The sequence below is a fragment of the Homo sapiens genome, chromosome 3 (genome assembly GCF_000001405.40).
Source record: "Homo sapiens chromosome 3, GRCh38.p14 Primary Assembly".
In the NCBI taxonomy this organism is placed as follows: Eukaryota; Metazoa; Chordata; class Mammalia; order Primates; family Hominidae; genus Homo; species Homo sapiens.
The window spans coordinates 6350494-6370666 of NC_000003.12; the positions used below are offsets into that span (position 1 = coordinate 6350494).

General features: G+C 36.5%; 1 long non-coding RNA gene across 1 annotated transcript; it reads left to right on the plus strand.

Moving 5' to 3' along the window:
• Positions 1-8404: 8404 nt before the first annotated feature.
• On the plus strand, positions 8405-15547 carry LOC124909341 (uncharacterized). Its single transcript, XR_007095801.1, has 2 exons — positions 8405-8454; positions 15236-15547. It is a non-coding gene; the product is annotated as an uncharacterized LOC124909341 (long non-coding RNA).
• The last annotated feature ends 4626 nt before the right edge of the window (positions 15548-20173 follow it).

The window sequence follows — 20173 nt, forward strand, 5'->3', positions numbered from 1 at the left end:
GGGTTAATTACATCAGGGAAAGTTTCAGTAAGGATCTGGCATACTTAGTATTACTGGTTTTCAAACATCTAAGAATCTGATTTCTGGATTTAGACTACTTGCTTGTCTTAGCCTCAATTCCCATTCTCTACTGCCAAATATTTCACACATGTCAGTTTGAGAGTTGAATGACATTCAGAGCACTCTTTATGCCAATGGAATCATTGACATCAAGAGTGAGGTAATTACCCTAGGGAACATGCTGGACAATTAGTTTATTATCCCAAGTTGCTCCAATACAAATATCCTATATCACCATTTATTTGGACTTAATATGGAAATAGAATGGACTTTAGAAATACACAAGTTACAATTAGAAGGCATGTTTCTTAGGAAGAAATAAAAAGTCAAGTCGGGATGATTTTTTTTCTTGGAATGATTTTTAATAGCACTTTCACTATTATTATTGATAAATTAATGAATCAATAAAAATGTAAAATAATAAATAATGAAGCCTCATAAAGGCCATTCTATTTTCATATGAAGTCCAAATAAATGGTGATATAGGATATTTTTATCGAAGCAAGTTGGGATAATAAACTATTGTCTAGCAAATTCCTTGGGGTAGTTACCTCAATCTTGATGAAGCCTCATTATTGATTAGTTTACATTATAATTGATTAGTGCACACTCATTTAATAATCTGTTTCTACTTATTAGAATATAAGCTTAAAAAGTATCCAAGTTATTCTTAACTGTCCCCAGAACCCCCAAAACAGGCATAGAACACAATATGTGTAAAATATACATTTGTTGATTAAAAACATAAGTACTATAATATACCTTAAAAATTTGTTAAGAGGGTAGATCTCATGTTAAGTGTTCTTGCCAAAATAAAATAAATATAAATATATAGTAAATGTGTTTGGTTCTAATGGAAATTATCTCTGTGTGTTTAATTCTTTAGAATAGTAAATATTTTAAATATTTACTTTGCAAACTGCAAAAATATTTATTATATTTCCTTAGATGTAGAGATCGTTGCCTAAAAGGGTCCTTCTCAGTTTAATGCTCATTGCCCCTCGAAGAAAATAAACAAAAGTCTGAATATAAAGAACACATTGAAGCAATAAGTTAGTATATCTGGATGTCAGGTTTATTATCAACTACCAAGAATAACATAAGAAAAAAAGATACACTAAGAAATGTGTGACTGGTAGTTGAAAGAAAACAGAAACTATAATCAAGCCTTTATTCTTTCCTGATCTACACCAAAGTCTTTGCAGTGTAGGCTCTGGCTTCGTTACAGAATGCCTTAATTCACAAAGTCTGACACAATTCGTCATCTTCTTTCAAAGAAAATGTCTTTTTATTCTGTGCCTTGCCAAAGCTTCGTGAGGGCTGAGCAGAGAAGGGTGAAGCTGGAGAGCTCTGATTACCCAGAAAACTATGTTGTCACCCATGCTTGTCTCCTGTGCACACAGTCTCTGCCACTGCTCCTGTGCTCTGGTTTTCAGTGGGAAAGATAATGTCACCTTCTTAGTCATGGTGTTGCTGCTTATGACAAGTACCTCCCCCAACACTCTACCAATACTTGAATTCTTTTACATTCAGATGTTTAAACACCTGGGGAAAAAATTTATAATAGAAAATGCTGCTTATTTGTTAAATGTGATTTTCTTCCCACAAATTGATACTTTGCCAATAACCATCATTTTCTGCCACTCCTGTGACAGGTAAGGAACATGGACTCTGAGGTTCAGATAGCCTCCCATTCAAATCCTGACTCCACCATGTATTTGTCATGTGCTCCTAAGCCAGTGACTTAATCTCCATGTGCCTTGATTTCTTCATATGCACACTGAACAATAATGTCTGCCTCACAGAACTTCTATGAGAAATACATCAGATACTACCTCTAAAAAGTTCAGAATAGTCCCTGACATATTGTCTTTAGTTTTTAGTAGATAAGTGTTGGGTAGTTTTCTTTTCGTTAATATCAGATAAAATTTATGTAGAATAACCCATACATGATATAAAGAGGTGCTTTGGTGTTCTTGAGAACTAAATCCCCATCCTACCTTTAATCTTAATGATGACATACATAGCCTTTGATGTGGGATGTGGGAAGTTTTTCTCTGGGGTAGAAGAAACAAGAAAGGAGTAAGGGATTTGGCTATTGTAAGTAATTGAAAAGTATAATGAGTTTTAGATTTGAATAGCATTTTAATGACATTTTTACCATGATGACTTCCAAGTAACATTAGATGTACAAACAGTATTTATTTTATTAATTGATTCATATTTTGTTTTCAACCACAAAATATTTATAAAGGCTGGAGTGCAACAGTTGTTTTCATTCCCAAGTATGTCTGTTGTACTTTATTTCATTTCATTTCATTTCATTTTTGAGACAGAGTCTCGCTCTGCTGCAAAGGTTGGAGCACAGTGGTGTGATCTCGGCTCACTGCAACCTCCACCTCCCGGGTTCAAGCAATTCTCCTGCCTCAGCTTCCTGAGTAGCTGGGACTACAGGAGTGTGCCACCACACCCAGCTAATTTTTGTATTTCTAATAGAGACGGGGTTTCATCATGTTGGCCAGGCTGGTCTCGACCTCCTGACCTCAAGAGATCCACCCACCTTGGCTTCCCAAAGTGCTGGGATTACAGGTGTGAGCCACTGCGCCCAGCCTGAATTTTTATTTAAAAAAATTAACACAGGGCTTTAAAATTATTATATAGCATTTTCTCCAGTAACAGATTATAATCCACCCACCAATGCATATACTGAATAGAATCCCTGGGTTTTTTTGATCCATCAAGTCTGTCTTTATTTATTAAGTCCTCTTCGTTTGTAAAGTCTCCAAAGACTTATTTATTCCCAGTAAATACAACATTTTTCTAGTAATAAAAACAAATAGATAGAAAAAAACTAAAGAGATTTCTAAGATAGCTAAGATATCTATCCCTTCTGGGAGACTCTTAGTTAATAAGGAATTGAAGCTTGGATGTTTTCACACTGCATTTTACTGAAGTGTCTGCAGACATCTCTGGAAAGAAAACCTCCTCTTTGCATCCGTGGTTCTTGCCTTTATTTTTGTGTCTTAGTTTTTTTATTGTCATTAGTTGAGTTAGCATCTGGAAAATCAGAATAACGAAAGAATGAGTGGAAATGGGCCTTATGCTATAGAAAGGATATTATACTTGGAGTCATGAAGTCTAGATTCTTGTCTTGACACCCCCAATGATACCAGCTAATGCTTACTGAGTACACACCAGGGGCCAGGTAAGCCCTATTTATTCATTATCTCATTTAACTAAACCAGTTCAACTCTAAAGTGATTCTCAGGCAACATGGCTATGGCTAGCCTTGTGCCAGTGGATGAGCAACCTAATTGCTCTTTGTTTATAAAATAAAATCAGATAAAACAATGTCAAATAATTTTTTTAATAACTGAGATCATGTATATTAAACTTCTTTAAAATCTCAGTAATAATTGTTAGCATTTAGATATTTCTTTTGTGCAAGACACAATGTTATTCTTCATCTCACTTAATCCTCCCCAAAACCCAATGAGGTAATTATTAAAATACTATCATTTAGCAGATGTGGAAGCAGATTCAAAAAAAGAGTAACTGAGACTCCTATCCGTCTGACTTGATCTCAAACTCTTATCTACTATTCTATCTTCTTAAAGCTGATAATGCTCTGGCAAGTTTAGTTGTATATACAGCTAATTCTTTGAGAATGTATCTTACACATTTAGTGAAGTTTCAAGCTTCGGGAAAAAAGTTTTAAGAAACTATCTCCTTAAACATGATAAGCAGCTGGTATGTGTCAGGCACTCTGTCTTATGGTTCTAAAGATGCCCCAACATCCCCTCGATCTAACAACAAAGAGGCCTTCAAATTTTTTTTAAATGTAGTCCGCTAAATAATTATATACAAATTATATTCCTATGAAAGTATTAATGTGATTATATATATTATCTGTAGTCTGTATTTGATCATTTAGTGGCTTAAAACAACATTTTTACTGTCTTTGCATCAGGAGCGCAGGCACAGTTTAACTGGGTTCTCTGGATCGAAGTCTCTCACAAGGCCACAGTCAAGATATCAAGTGTGGCTGGGGTCCTCTTTAACCTCCATCCGAGTGGATCTACTGCTAGGCTCACGCACATGGCTATTGACAGGATTCAGTTCATTGCAGGCTGTTGGCTCTAAGTTCCTTACTATGTGGGCTTCTCATGGGGTAGTGCCCATGAAGGCAGCTGGATTCTATCAAAGTGAGCAAATGAGAGAGGAAGAGAGGTTGTAATTTACTTTCAGATGTAGCCTCCTGTCACTTTTGCTGTATTCTGTTTATGAGAGGTGAGTCACTGGGGCCAGCCCACACGCAAGCATCTGTGTGAATACCTGACTTTGGGGATGACTAGGGACCATCTTATAAAGCAGCCCACAACAAACAGCAACTCATCTTTTCTGGTTGTTGTTGTTGGGAAAGAGGTAGAAGAGGACTTTAGTTGAAGGCAAGTGTTGAGAATTGCTAGCACATTCTCAGCCTAGTAGATCTAGTAAAGATTCAGTAAAGAATCGGTCCCTGAAATAAATTAAATCCTGAGTGCCTATTCAGGTTGGCAACATCCTATCCTATTATCTTATCAAATGACTCTTAAGCATTGTATCTGGAATTCTGAGGAATGTGACAAGGGTTCTGAGCAGCAGCTGAGTATGGACAGATCTGTACTTTGTCATCACTCTAGTTGCTCAAAGAAACTTCCAAAGTTGGAAAGAAAGAAAGCATGTTTAATGCTTTCTTTGTACAATGTAAATATTTGTAAAATGAAGGGGTGAATTTTATGGAAGAAAGAAAGAATAAGATGAAACGACAAAGAACAAAATACCAAATTCACAAACTCTCTTCACACTTCAATATCTCAAAGATTGAAACCTCAGTATAAATTTGTTGAATGACATATCATAAATAAAATATAAAATATGTGCTCACATATCATATGTCTCTACAATAACTACTGAAGTGGAATTAAGTGCTGCAATGAAAACTTTGGTGGTATAACAAGGAAATATGAATTAGTGGAAGTCTGAGAATAGTACAAAGGAGTAAAGAAATGTACAGATAAACTCATATACTATAAGGAAAAAAAATATGCGATACTGAATGGATTTAGGGTTAAGCTATTTGTACTTATAATTTAGAAACAGTGTCTTGGTCCATTTTCTGTTGCTTATAAGAGAATGCCTGAAACTGGGTAATTTATTTTTAAGGAGAATTTATTTCTTATGGTGATGGAGGCGGAGAAGTCCAAGGTTGAGAGGCTGCATCATGTGATAGAAAGCCTTCTTGCTGGTGGGGACCTTTGCATAGTCCCAAGGCAGCACAGGACATCACATGGCAAGAGGACTGAGAGTGTTAGCTCAGGTCTCTCTTCCTTTTTTAACAAAGCCACGAGTTCCCCTTCCATGACAGCCCAATAATTCATAAATTCATGAATCCATAAATAAATTAATCCATCCAAAAAGGGAGAACCTTCATGACCCACTTACTCCCACCTCTCAATACTGCAACACTGGAGATTAAATTTCAACATGAGTGTTGGAGGGGACAAATATTCAAATTATAGCACTTAGAAAAAAAAGAGAAATTGAATTCAGAATGTTATGAACACTGAACACATAGCAAAAACCTACTGAAAGAAAATAGCTAAAGCTCGCTAGAGATAAATTTGTTGTAACTTCTGTTTTTGTAGCTGAATTCCTCACCCTTCCCTTCTGTCTACCGATTCATCTTCATGGATGTTAGAAGAAAATTTGAGTTGCAGAAATATTTGAGAGAAAGAGCTAGAGTGAGAATGAGAGAGAGTAAGGGAGGGGAGGGGGCTTTAGTCCCTGCTGCATTCTTGTTCTCTTTCCCTGTTCTCACTTCCTTGGCTAATTTCTCCACCTTCACAACCTAACTAGTGTTCAGCTATGCAGAAATCTGTCACACCGTTACTAAGCTGAGGGTTATGCCACTCCGAGGAGAAGCTGCGGGCAGAGGGAAGGACAGTGTGGCAGGCTGTGTTTGGGAATGGAGAGCTGGGGGGATGTTCTTATGTCTCAATAGACTCCATATCTGCTGATTACTATGTTGTTGCAAACAATCAATTCCTTTATTTCTTCATCCTTTAAGTAGTGGTTTTACAAATGCAGCACTTGCTTTTTTTTTTTTTTTTTTTTTTTTTTTTTTTTGCAAACCACAATTACTTTTCAAACAATTTATTGGGCTTCAAGACAATGAAGAGTTTACCATTCAATACTAGAACAAAGTAAAGGTAATATATGTTGAGACAGCATTTACAATGTGCTAGTAAAGTGCCAGATAATGTGTACAAGTTCTTTGCCTTCATGCAAAGAAGCTTTCCTCTCATCTCTACCAGGGAATGCTCAAACAGCATGATAAGATATTGGTTCAAGATTTAAACAATATTATCTCTGTCATGCTGAGTATGGTGCCAAAGGGCTTGAGTAAAGAAAGGGTGCCATATGTGATGTTTTGTGTACATTTGTGCCAAGAAGGGAGACTTAAACATAGATTTCAAAAATGATATTATTTGCCTGATTAGTCAGCTACAACTATACATTCAAATAAATGTAGACTATCAAGTATGATGCAAGAAGGAGAATATTTTGTTTGGTAATACATAGGAAAAAAAATTACCGGGAAGTTGGTATCCAAAACCAAGGCTTAGAACTTCAGACAATTTTATATTCATCGTTTCTGAAGGAAATCCTGAATAACATATTCTACATGATATACAATTTCATTTAGGATGTTTCTGAAAAGCTTGGGGAAAAACAAATATATTCTTTTACATAATGAGAAATAATGCAGATGTTGACACTACTTCTTTGCTGTTCATGGGTATGCATTCATTTTTATATAGATTTGGTCCTCAGGCTGGCCCTATGTTGGGGTTGTAAGATGGCAACAACAATTAAAGACATCACATCTAAATATGACATAGTTCATAGGAATAGAGTCCAATTCTTACTTGTAATTATCTGTTATTAAAAAAAAAAAACCTTCCCAGAAACTCCCAGCAAGCTTTCATTCACATCTCATTGGATGGAAATGTATCACATGCCCAAGCAAAACAGATCAGTGGCCAAGGACCACCATGATCATCTTAGTCAGGTAGGACATATGCTCGAATCTGGGGATAGTTGTCCTCATTGGAACAAGGTCATGTGGAAGATGGTGGGTACCAACTTCCACAAATTAAGGTTACCATCTTTTGCAAATTAAAATTAAAAAAAGAATATTGGGGGTAGAACAAGTTATTGGATATACATCTAGCAGTGTCTACTATAGGAGCAGTGTTAAAAAAAAAAATAAGAATTCCACACTTTGGGAGGCTGAGGCTGGTGGATCATGAGGTCAGGAGATCAAGACCATTCTGGCCAACATGGTGAAACCCTGTCTGTACTAAAAATACAAAAATTAGCTGGGTGTGGTGGTGAGTGCGTGTAATTCCAGCTACTCAGGAGGCTGAGGCAGAAGAATCCTTTGGACCTGAGACCCGGAGACTGCATGGAGCTGAGATTGTGTCACTGTACTCTAGCCTGGGCAACAGAGCAAGACTCTGTCTCCAAAAAAAAAAAAGAAAAAGAAAAAGAAAAAAGAAAAGAATTCCAAAGTCAAGTACGTTTAGAACATTTTGGGTTTAATTTTATTTCAAATTTTCTTGGCTATGGAAACTTTAGGGTACTTTTTTGATGCTTATGGGCATTATAAATCTACAAGTTGGGGTATAACAGGCTGCATTTCCCTTCCTGTTCTACATTTTTGTTGTTTCTACTGTTTTATCATTCTGTTATAACTTCATATGTAAATTTACTATAATATAAACTCATATGAGCATTCCACAGCTTATGAAATAGTACTAAAGAGCTGTAGCATGCAGGTGGTATTCATTTTGGCCTCCCAGCATCCTTTTCTGTGTATGAAAAATTATCCAATTTATGAAATTTTGTGAACATTAAGTTGCAGTTATGGCAATAACAGTTGAGAATTCTGCATACGTGCTTTCCCAGCCTGGCTTGCAGCTAGGTTGCAGAGAGTTTTGACATGAGATGTGGAAAGCCAAAAAGAAAATGATAAGAAAACATCTCTCCTCCCCACCTTTCTCCTCCACCTCCTACCTGCCACTCTTCCTCCTCCACCTCCTGTCCTTTCTCCTTCTTCTCTTCCTGACCCTCCCACCTGCTATTTTTGTAGTAACAACAATTTTCTCAGCAGATATGATCTGGTATAAAATCTAGGGTGATTTTTCTAGCTGTTTATTGTACGCATAGTTGTCTAGCCTTCCTAATATGTCTGTGAGTTAGCCAATGTCTTTTTAATAAGTTGCTGTTTTCATTATTTCAGGGTGAGCCAGCTTCGGGATTGCAACTGAGAAGTGGGACTATTAAAAGGTACTAAAGCAGAGAATACGACCAGTAAACAAACAAAAAAAAAGCACTTTAAATAGGAATAAAATATATTAATAAATGTGACCACATGGAGATTAGTGACCATAGAAGGTAATGATTCATTCCAAATAATTAGGCTAACAGGGAATTCAGAGTCATTCTGAATTGTCAAGGAAACATTTACATGTATGAAGACTTTTGTTCCAAAGGAGTTCATAATTTCTAGTAAGTTTACATTTTATCATGAATAGCTTAACAACTAAACATCACCATTGAATAGCAGAATGACAGGGGAGAAATATTTTCAACCAAAATGTTGAGAACCACTGCCAATGATAGATGAATTCAAACTAAGCCAAAGAAAACTCTAAAATGATTGTATAGGTCACTGGGAAAATAAGATTTGATTGATAAAAATCTGTTTAGAGGCCACAGTGGGCAGATCATGAGGTCAGGAGATCGTTTCCATCTCCTGATGGCTAACACGGTGAAACTCTGTCTCTACTAAAAATATAAAAATTAGCCAGGCATGGTGGTGGGCATCTGTTATCCCAGCTACTTGGGAGGCTGAGGCAGGAGAATTGCTTGAATCTGGGAGGCGGAGGTTGCAGTGAGCTGAAATCGTGCCACTGCACTCCAGCCAAGGTGACAGAGCAAGACTCGGTCTCCAAAAAAAAAAAAAAAAAAAAGAAATGAATAAATTTTATGATCAAATATTGAAGTGTTTAAATTTTGAAGAACATACTCGGGAATTTCAGAATTATATTTAAGTCTTCAATGCAATTATTCTCAGACTTTTTTCCCCAAGACATTCATATAATTTAACCATGCTATTGCACTTTGGAAGCTAAGAACCGTTCTTCTCTTTATAGAAAGCATTATTAGCTACCATCACACATGTTTAAATTAAACTCAAGAATTTTTATTTATTTTTAAGACCAAAAAAGATTGCAGAGAACTAAAAAAGAAAAGAAAAATGTGTTCACAGCTTCAGTATTTTATCTCCTAGCTAAAAATTCACCATACATGAGACTATACATCAGAATAAAAAAAAAAAACCTAACAAGTTTGAGGAAAATGGGAAATCATTCTTAGCATAGAGCCTAATCTATAATGTCTTGGTTAATTTCTAATGGTGAAATAACGCTAAATCAAATATACAGTAGTCTGTTTCTTTTTACTAAGATTGACCTTATAAAAACAAAGTTATAATGTTTTTCTAAGCACTTTTCATTGGACAAAAATGAATTTCTTCTACAGTTCCTCATTAGACAAAATGAAAAATGTTCGTATAAAACATGGACTTGTGTGTGATTATCCAACCAAGTAAAATTATGACTGACAGGCAGAAAATAATGACTTTGAGATAATAGCTGTACTGAATCAGATGACTTATGCAAATCTTTTATCATTGGTTACCATTTGAGTCCTGTTCTGATTCTTTTGCCTTTCCAGCCTTACATTAAAACGAGCTCATTTCTCATAGATCAGATTATGTTTTTATTTACAAAAACTAAAGTCCTAATCTAATTGATTACTTGGAAATATATATCAAGAAATTATGTTGCAATATCAGATTTTGACATTAAATCAAATAAATTTCAGAGTCTCTTTCATGTCTTATTCATTTTCTATAAACAGTTATAGATTTTTAAAAACTGATTTCTCTAGCATGTATGCACACATCTCAGCAGAAGTAATTGCTTCCCCTTCCAGTACATTTCTAGTGTCATTATTTAGTTTTTACTTTTTATTATTCTTATCTCTACATTCCAAAATTCCCCTACTTCTCCATTTTTCATTTATCACTTCAAACTCCTGGTAACAAATCATTAGCTACTAATGCAACCTGCTTCCTGGCACATAGAAATATGTTCAATAAATATATATTAGGTGAATAACTCAATAAGTAATAAAATACCCTACTTGTTTATGTTTTATTTTGCATTCCAAAGAAATACTTCTAGCAATAGAAATAGTCCCATGAGCTACTTTTATTACCATATTCAATCTTGCTTTTATATGGTAAACTGTTTAAGGACTTATAATTATGAATAGTAAGAGGAAGTTCTAGCCAGAGCAATCAGGCAAGAGAAAGAAATAAAAGGCAACAAAACAGGAAAAGAAAATGTCAAACTGTTTCTATTCACAGATGATATAATTCTATAGCTAGAAAACCCTAAAAATTCTGCCAAAAGGCTCCTGGAAATGATAAACAACTTCAGTGAAGTTTGAGGATACAAAGTCAATACACAAAAAAAGGCGGCATTTTTATACACCAATAATGTTCATGTTGAGAGCGAAATCACGAACACAATCCCATTTACAAAGCAACAACAACAAAAAATACCAAAGAACACTTTTTTTTTTTTTTTTTTTTTTTTTTTTTTGAGATGGAGTCTTGCTCTCTCGCCCAGGCTGGAGTGCAGTGGCACGATCTTGGCTCACTCCAACCTCTGCCTCCTGGGTTTAAGCTATTCTCCTGCCTCAGTCTCCCGAGTAGTGGGATTACAGGCACCTGCCATCACGCTCAGCTAATGTTTGTATTTTTAGTAGAGATGGGGTTTCACCATGTTGGCCAGGCTTGTCTCAGACTCCTGACCTCAGGTGATCTGCCTGTCTCAGTATCTCAAAGTGCGGGGATTACAGGTGTGATCCATCATGCCCAGCCTCCAAGGAACACATTTAACCAAGGAGATTAAAGTTCTCTACAAGGATACCTATGAAACATTGCTGAAAGGAATCATAGATTACATAAACAAATGTAATAACATTTCATCCTCGTGTATTGAAAGAACTGATATAAAAATGGCCATAGTGCCCAAAGAAATCTACAGATTCAATGCTATTCTTATCAATCTACCAACATGATTTTTCACAGTTAGAAAAAGCTATTTTAAAATTGATATTTTACCAAAAAGGAGCTCAAAAATAGCCAAAGCAATCATAAGCAAAAAGAATGAAGTCGGAGGCATCACATTGCCTGACTTCAAACAATACTATAAGGCTACAGTAATCAAACAGCATGGCACAAAACAGACACATAGACTAATGGAATAGAATAGAGAACCTAGAAATAAAGTGGCACACCTATAGCCATCTGATCTTGGGCCAGTTAATAAAAATAAGAAATGGGGAAAGGAATCCCTATTCAATAAATGCAAATGGGATAGCTGGCTAACCACATACAGAAGAATGAACCTGGATGCTTATACTTTTCACCACACACAAAAACTAACTCAAGATAGATTAAAGATTTAAGTGTAAGACCTCAAACTATAAAAATTCTGGAAGAAAATCTAGGAAACACCATCCTGAACATCAGCCTTGAAAAAGAATTTCTGAATAAGTTCTCAAGAGCAATTGCAACAAAAACCAAAATTGACAAGTGGGACCTAATTAAACTAAAGAGCTTCTGCACAGCAAGAGAAAATATCAACAGAGTAAACAGTCTACAGAATGGGAGAAAATGTCTGCAAACTATGCCTCCGATAAAGCTGTAATATCCAGAATCTATAAGGAACTTAAGTCAAGAAGCAAAAAACAAATAACTCCATTAAAAAATAGGCAAAAGACATGAACAGATACTTCGCAAAAGAAAACATACAAGTGGCCAATAAACATATGAAAAATGCTCGTCAGCACTAATCATCAGAGAAACGCAAATCAAAACCACAGTGAGATACCCTCTCACACTAGTCAGAATGGTTACATTACCATTAAAAAGTAAAAAAAACAACAGGTGCTGGTGAGACTATGGAGAAAAGAGAACACTTTTACACTGTTGGGGGGATGTAAATTAGTTCAGCCAATGTGGAAAGCAGTTTGGAGATTTCTCAAAGAACTTAAAATATGTGTTTCTGTCCCCTCTTATTTCCTTGAGCAGTGGTTTGTCATTCTCCTTGAAGAGGTCCTTCACATCCCTTGTTACTGTATTCCTAGGTATTTTATTCTCTTTGTAGCAATTGTGAATGCGAGTTCATTCATGATTTGGCTCTCTGCTTGTCTATTGTTGGTATATAGGAGTGCTTGTGATTTGTGCACATTGATTTTATATCCTGAGACTTGGCTGAAGTTGCTTATTATCATGGATAGGAAGAATAAATACAACAGGGGCCATACTGCTCAAAGCAATTTATAGATTCAATGCTATTCCCACCAAACTACCATTGACATTCTTCACGGAATTGGAAAAAACTACTTTAAATTTCATATGGAACCAAAAAAAGAGTCCATATAGCCAAAACAATCCCAAGCAAAAAGAACAAAGCTGGAATCATCATGCTACCTGCCTTCAAACTATACTACAAGGCTACAATAACCAAAACAGCATGGTACTGGTAACTAAAGAGACATATAGATCAATAGAACAGAGCAGAGACCTCAGACATAACATCACACATCTACGACCATCTGATCTTTGACAAACCGGACAAAACAAGCAATAGGAAAAGGATTCCCTATTTAATAAATGGTGCTGGGAAAACTGGTTAGCCATATACAGAAAACCGAAACTGGGCCTATTCCTTACACCTTATACAAAAATTAACTCAAGATAGATTAAAGACTTAAATGTGAAACCCAAAACCATAAAAACCCTAGAGGAAAACCTAGGCAATACCATTCAGGACATAGCCATGGGCAAAGACTTCATGACAAAAACACCAAAAGCAATTGCAGCAAAAGCCCAAATTGACAACTGAGTTGTAGTTAAACTAAAGAGCTTCTGCACAGCAAAAAAACAAAACAAAACAAAACAAAACAAAACAAACAAAAACCAAAAACAAAAACAAAAAAAAAAACTGTCATTAGAGTGAACAGGCAACCTACAGAATGGGAGAAAAATTTTGTAATCTACACACCTGACAAAGGTCTAATATCCAGAATATACAAGGAACTTAAACAAATTTACAAGAAAAAAACAAACAGCCCCATCAAAAAGTGGAAAAATGATGTGTACAGACACTTCTCAAAAGAAGACATTTATGTGGCCAAGAAACATATGAAAAAAAGCTCAAAATCATTGATCATTAGAGAAATGCAAATCAAAACCACAATGAGATACCATCTCATGCCAGCCAGAATGGCGATTATTAAAAAGTCAAGAAGCAATAGATGCTGGTAAGGCTGTGGAGGAATAGGAATGGTTTTCCACTGTTGGTGGGAATGTAAATTAGTTCAGCCACTGTGGAAGACAGTGTAACATTTCCTCAAGGATCTAGAACCAGAAATACAATTTGACTCAGCAATCCCATTAGGGGGTATATACCCAAAGGAATATAAATCATTCTACTATGAAGACACACCCACACGTATATTTATTGCAGTACTATTTACAATAGCTAAGACATGGAACCAACCCAAATGCCCATTGAAGATAGACTGGATAAAGAAAATGTGGTACATATACACCATGGAATACTATGCATACATAAAAACAAATGAGATTATGTCCTTTGCAGGGACATGGATAAAGCTGGAAGGCATCATCCTCAGCAAACTAACACAAGAACAGAAAACCAAACACCGCATGTTCTCACTCATAAGTGGGAGTTGAACAATGAGATCACATGAACACAGGGAGGAGAACAACATACACCAGGGGCCAGCCAGAGGGTGAGGGGTGAGGGGAAGAATAGCATTAGGACAATAACTAATGTATGCGGAGCTTAAAACCTAAATGACAGGTTGATAGGTGCAGCAAACCACCATGCCACACGTATACCTATGTAACAAACCTACACATTCTGCACTTGTATCCTGGAACTTAAAGGAAGATTAAAAAAAAAGAAGGTAAAATAAAACTACCATTTGACTCAGCAATCCCATTACTGGGTATATACCTGAAAGAAAACACATCACTCTAACAAAAAGACACATGCGCTTGTTTGCTCATCGCTGCATTATCCACAATAGCAAAGATATGGAATCAACTTAGGTGCCCATCAATGGTGGATTGGAATAAGAAAATGTGGTATATACATACATTGGACTACTACACGGCCATGAAAAGGAACAAAATCTTGTCTTTTGCAGCAACATTGATGCAGCTCGAGGCCATTATCCTAAGTAAATTAACAGAGGAACATAAAACCAAATACCATATGTTCTCACTTATAAGTGGGAGCTAAACATTGGTTACTCATGGACTTAAAGATGAGGACAATAGCCACTAGGAATGAATAGAAGGGAGAGGTATGGAGGGGAGCAATAGTTAGGTTTTTTAGGATTAAAACTAGAAATACGAATTAGTTTTTGGGAGTTTTAATCCTAAAAAACTAACTATTGGATACTATGCTCACTACCTGGGTGACGGGATCATTCATATCCCAAACTCAGTATCACGCAATATACTCATCTAGCAAACCTGTACATGTACTCTCTGAATCTAAAATAAAAGTTGAAATTGTTTTTAAAAAGAATATTAAAGTATATTGTTCATTTGATCTTATCATCATATATCGAGTTCCATTTTGCTTCTCATGTGTGGATGCAAGGGAGCAGCATTTGAACTTTTATTGCAATCTTTTGTCTTTTGAGTCTAGGATACTGTGGAAAATTTAAGTATTGCTTCCACTTTCTCTCCTTCCCCCTCACTGATGTGCTTGGCCATCTAACTTTCTAGTCCCCACAAAAGGCAGAGCACGCTTTCCTGTCCCATGTTTTTCATGTGGCTGTATGGCTTGCTTTAGCCAATGGGATGTTAGTAGTCATTCTGCAAATAGATGTTTGAAATATGCTTGTATGTTTGGTCATTCATTCTTTATTTCCTTCATTGCCACAGAAAGTCATGCCCAGGTGGCTCACCAAGCTGGAGAAGGGACAAGAGACCTCTGGAGCTTCGCCTTTATAGCTGATTGCTTTTTGAATCCCAGCCATCCCAGCCTCCACAGTCTGAAGCAGAAACATCTCATCCAAACTGCATTTGTGTGAGCAAGAAATAAATGCAGACAGTTATATGCCAAGGAGATTTTATAGTTGCTTGTTATGTAATAACAATGACTAATAGAGAAATGATTGAAGAGTACTGAATCACAACATTACTAGCTCAACCTGCTCCCCAGAAAATTGCTAATAAAGACAATAATAACAAGAATTCCCTCTTATTAATGCCTATCAAATGCCAGCAATAACTAGATGCTTTGCACATTGTAATCTCATTTTATCCTAGGAAGACAACAACTCTGTGAAGTTGGTGATCTTATCCCTATTTCATTCCCAGGAAATTAGGATTCAGAAATGGCTTATAGATTTTCAGAGATCACAAAGTTAAGAAGTATCAATTCCAAGCTTACAAACCAAAGACTTTAGACTATAAAATCCCTACCTGTTAGCTGGTGCCAATGTGGCAAGATTTACCTTTACTTCTCTTCAGCTTATCTTTCCATCATTCCATTCCCACATTTCCACTCCCATTCCCCAGCCCATGTAATTCCTATTGAGTGCTGTAACTTTATTCTATTTAATGCTAAGTTGTAAGGGCTCAGAATTTAAGTTGCCTTTCATGGTATCCTAATTTTGGTAGTAGGGAATAGATAGGCATAGATGGGGTGAAAAAATGCGTTCATATATTTGTAGAATGCTCATAGCAAAAAACAAAATGAAGTTATCTTAACTATGTCAAAAGTTTTAGTGAATCCAAATAATGTACACACAAAAAAAATTTTAAATAAAAGCAAGAGTTGCATAAGAAACAAATATTTAGGAAGAATTGGGATGTCTATCGCCACCCACAAAATTAGAGAGTTATTATATCCCCTGATTGTAGATCAGGAACAGTAGTCAAAGGGATTATTTGAAAATGCAAATCTGATTATGTCGCTTACATTTTAATAGGTAGAGACAGTCAGTAATTGCTATGGCCTGAATGTTTGTGTCCTAAAATTCATATGTTGAAACCTAATTATCAAAGTGATGGTATTATCATGTAGGCCTCTGGCAAATGATTTGATTTTGAAGATGGAGCCTGTATGAATGGGATTAGCGTCCTTATAAAACAGACACAAGGAAGCTCATTGGCTCTTTCTACCCTGTGAGCATGCAAAAAGAAGGTACCAATTATGAAGCAGAATGTGGGTCCCCACGAGATGCTGAATCTGTTCATACCTTGATTTTAGATCTTCCAGCCTGTGGAAATGTGAGAAATAAATTTTTTTAAACCACGTAGTCTATGGCATTTGTTATAGCAGCATATACAGATTAAGGCAGTAATTTTACAGATTGGTAGGTTTTAGAAAGAGACACAGGTTTTGAGGAAACTTGTGTCCCTTTTGAAAAGGGTGTTCCAGACATAAGGAATATTCAGTGCAAAGGTGTTAAGGCAAAAGAGTGTATCTAATATTTTCCAGGAACGTTAAAGGCAGTATGTCTGGAAAGAGTGCATTGTTGTAGGATAATAGGAGATATTATCAGAAAGATAAGAAACAGACAGATCACATAAGGCCCTCCGGGTTATTTTAAGGACTCTGGCTTTATCCTGGATGAAGTGGTGAATGGTTACAAGGTTTTGGACAAGAATAAACTGAGGGGAGAGTGTCAGAGTAGGAATAGGGAGACAAGTTTTAAGGTTCAGACAAGGGATTTAGAAAAATAAATGAGAAGAGGTAGTTGGATTTTTTATCTGTTTTGAAGAGAGCGTGATTTCCAAATAAATTAGAGGTGGGAATAAGAAAAACAGAGTTGAAAATGACTGCAATGTCTTAAGCCTGGGCAGTTGGAAGGATTGTCACCTTAAACTATGATGGGGAAGGAGGTAGGTGGATCACGTTTTGAGGGGGAATATTAGAAGTTCAGTTTTGGATATGTTTATTTTACATTGTAAGCAGAGATTCAAGAGTGGAGATAAATTTATATACCTGGTGTTGGTGGGAGATGAAGATATAGATGTAGATTTTGGAGTCATTTGCATACTGTTACAAACTAAGTCATGAGAAACATAAAAGAGTGAGTATAGAAAGAAAAGAAAAGACATGCAAACGGTAAGCCTAAAGTCCTCCAATATTAAGATGTATGAGACATAAAGAGGAATGCCAGGCTGCACTGGGAATGAGTAACCAGTGAAGTAAGAGAAAAACCAGGCTTTAATGTCCTTAAGCCCAATCAAGAAAGTGTATGAAGGAGAAGGAATTGATAGTCTGTACGTCCAGTGAGATAACTGAACATTGACTATCACAGTTAGAATCATGGAGGTCATTAAGATCATCGCTAGTAAAAGTTGTGGTGGGATGAATGCATGGTGAATAGAAAGGAATTAGAAACAGTGTGTTTAGACAACCGTTACGGGATTTCTGCTGTACCAGCTAGCCAAGAAATGGAGCAGCAGCTAACGGGAAAGTAGGATCATGGGAAAAAATGTGATCGATGAAGTAACAATCAGCTGTTTGCTGATGAGAATGATCCTCAAAGGAAGAAAACAAATAATGATTTAGGAGAAAAAGATAAGAATTGCTGGCTGGGCCCGGGGTCTCACGCCTATAATCCCCACACTTTGAGAGGCCAAGGTGGGCGGATCACTTGAGGTCAGGAGTTTGAGAACAGCCTGGCCAACATGGTGAAACCCCATCTCCACTAAACATACAAAAATGAGCTGGGCATGGTGGCACACTCCTGTAATCCCAGCTACTCGGGAGGCTGAGGCAAGAGAATGGCTTGAACCTGGGAGGTGGAGGTTGTAGTGAGCTAAGATTGCACCACTGCACTCCAGCCTTGGTGACAGAGCAAGACTCTGTCTCAAAATAAATAAATAATTGCTTCAATGACATCCTCAGATGGAGAGAGTTGCTAGGGTGATGTCCTTAACTAAGCAAAAGCAAATGGAAGCTTAAGCACAAGTGGGGGATTTGGCTGCATACAGAAACATAGGAAGTTTGTCTGTGGTAACTGGTTTGGTGTCATTTGTTTAACAAAGTTCAACCCACACAACTGTACGGTCCTTCAGAACAGAAGACAGAAGCCCTGTCTGTCTTATCAACCATTTCATGTCCATGGCCTACATATTACCGGGCACTGAGTAGAAACTCAGCATATAGTTATTGAAGAGGGATGGACAGATGAATCAATGTACACATGGATGAGCTTCACATAGTAAATAAGTCTCCTCCCACTTTTAGTGTAAAAGATGCAGGTTCATTGTTTATTTGCATTCTACATAGAAGCCAATGACGTGGTCTGAGCACTTAAAAGCATTATATGAAATGAACCAACCCACATATCTGACTATGATCAATGGAAGAGAAAAGCAACAACATGGTCTCACACTCTCACTTCAATAAAAGATAATATTGAAATAGCTCATGTCATCTGAGATGACTGTTATCAGTTCTGATTTTTGAGTAAGGAATGGCCCTGTCTGTTGTGTACATTTGTGAAATATTCCCCATGGAGTTCCTTCTGAGATCACATTAATGTGATGTTTTAAAAAACATGCGCTAATTATAAATCAAAATTTGCAAGTATCCTAAATTCATTCATTAGTTATTCTGGAGCTGCTAAGCATTTAACACTTTTGCATTTTTTCAGTGTAACCGAAATCCCTTGAGCACTTTTATTGTGAAAATAAATAAAATGCTCACTAATGAAAGTAACACAAAGAAATTTGGATTCTTGCTGGTCACAGATGAGATTAGAAAAACATGAGGCTTTGTTGAAACATGACTGATTTTTTCTTAGCAAGAATATGAATAAAATTCAAGAAAATTTGATCCATTTTTATCGCATTTTTTGCATACATGGACTCAAATTACAAATAACACACACACACACACACACACACTCCCCAAGAAACATGCATATGAATAACTAATTTTGTTTCATATAGCTAGAGATTTTACACATCTCTATGAAAAAAGTTCAGCAGAGGTAGGGAGAAATGAAAACTGAGCAAAGATTAGCACATCAAATTAGCTCACATGAAAAGCCCCCAAAGTGTATTATTTTGTTAAGAAATAAAAATGAAGTTCCTCACTGGTAAAAGAATTATCTGGTTAACTGCTCACCCAAGTCTCCACCTTAACTGGCTTTTGTAGATACAGTTTGATTGAAGTACTTCTGAGAATTAAAATGTAAAGCCAATTTAAAGTTTACACTACACAGGCATGTGTCACTTAATGATGGGATACATCTGAGAAATGAGACATTATGTGAGTTTATTGTCGTGTGAACTTTGTAGAATGTGCGTACGCAAACCTAGATAGTACAGCCTAATACACACATAAGTTCTATGAGACAGCCTGTTGCTTGTAAGAAGCATATTATTGGATTGAATACTGTAGGCACTTGTAACAAATAGTTAAGTACTTGTGTTTCTAACCAGATCTAAACATAGGAAACGTACAGTAAAAATATGGTATAAAATAGGGTTCTCTAAACTCTGGGCCACAGACTGATACCAGTCCATGGCCTGTTAGAAACTGGGCTTCACACCAGGAGGTGAGCCGTGGGTGAGCAAGGGAAGCTTAATCTGTATTTACAGCCACTACTCACCACCTGCATTACTACCTGAGCTCTTCATCCTGTCAGATCAGTGGTGGCATTAGATTCTCACAGGAGCGTGAACCCTATTGTGAACTGTGCTTTTGAAGGATCTAGGTTGCACGCTCCTTAAGAGAATCTAAAGCCTGATGATCCGTCACTGTCTCTCATCACCCCCAGATGGGACAGTCTAGTTACAAGACAACAAGTTCAAGGCTCCCACTGACTCTACATTATGATGAGTTATATAATA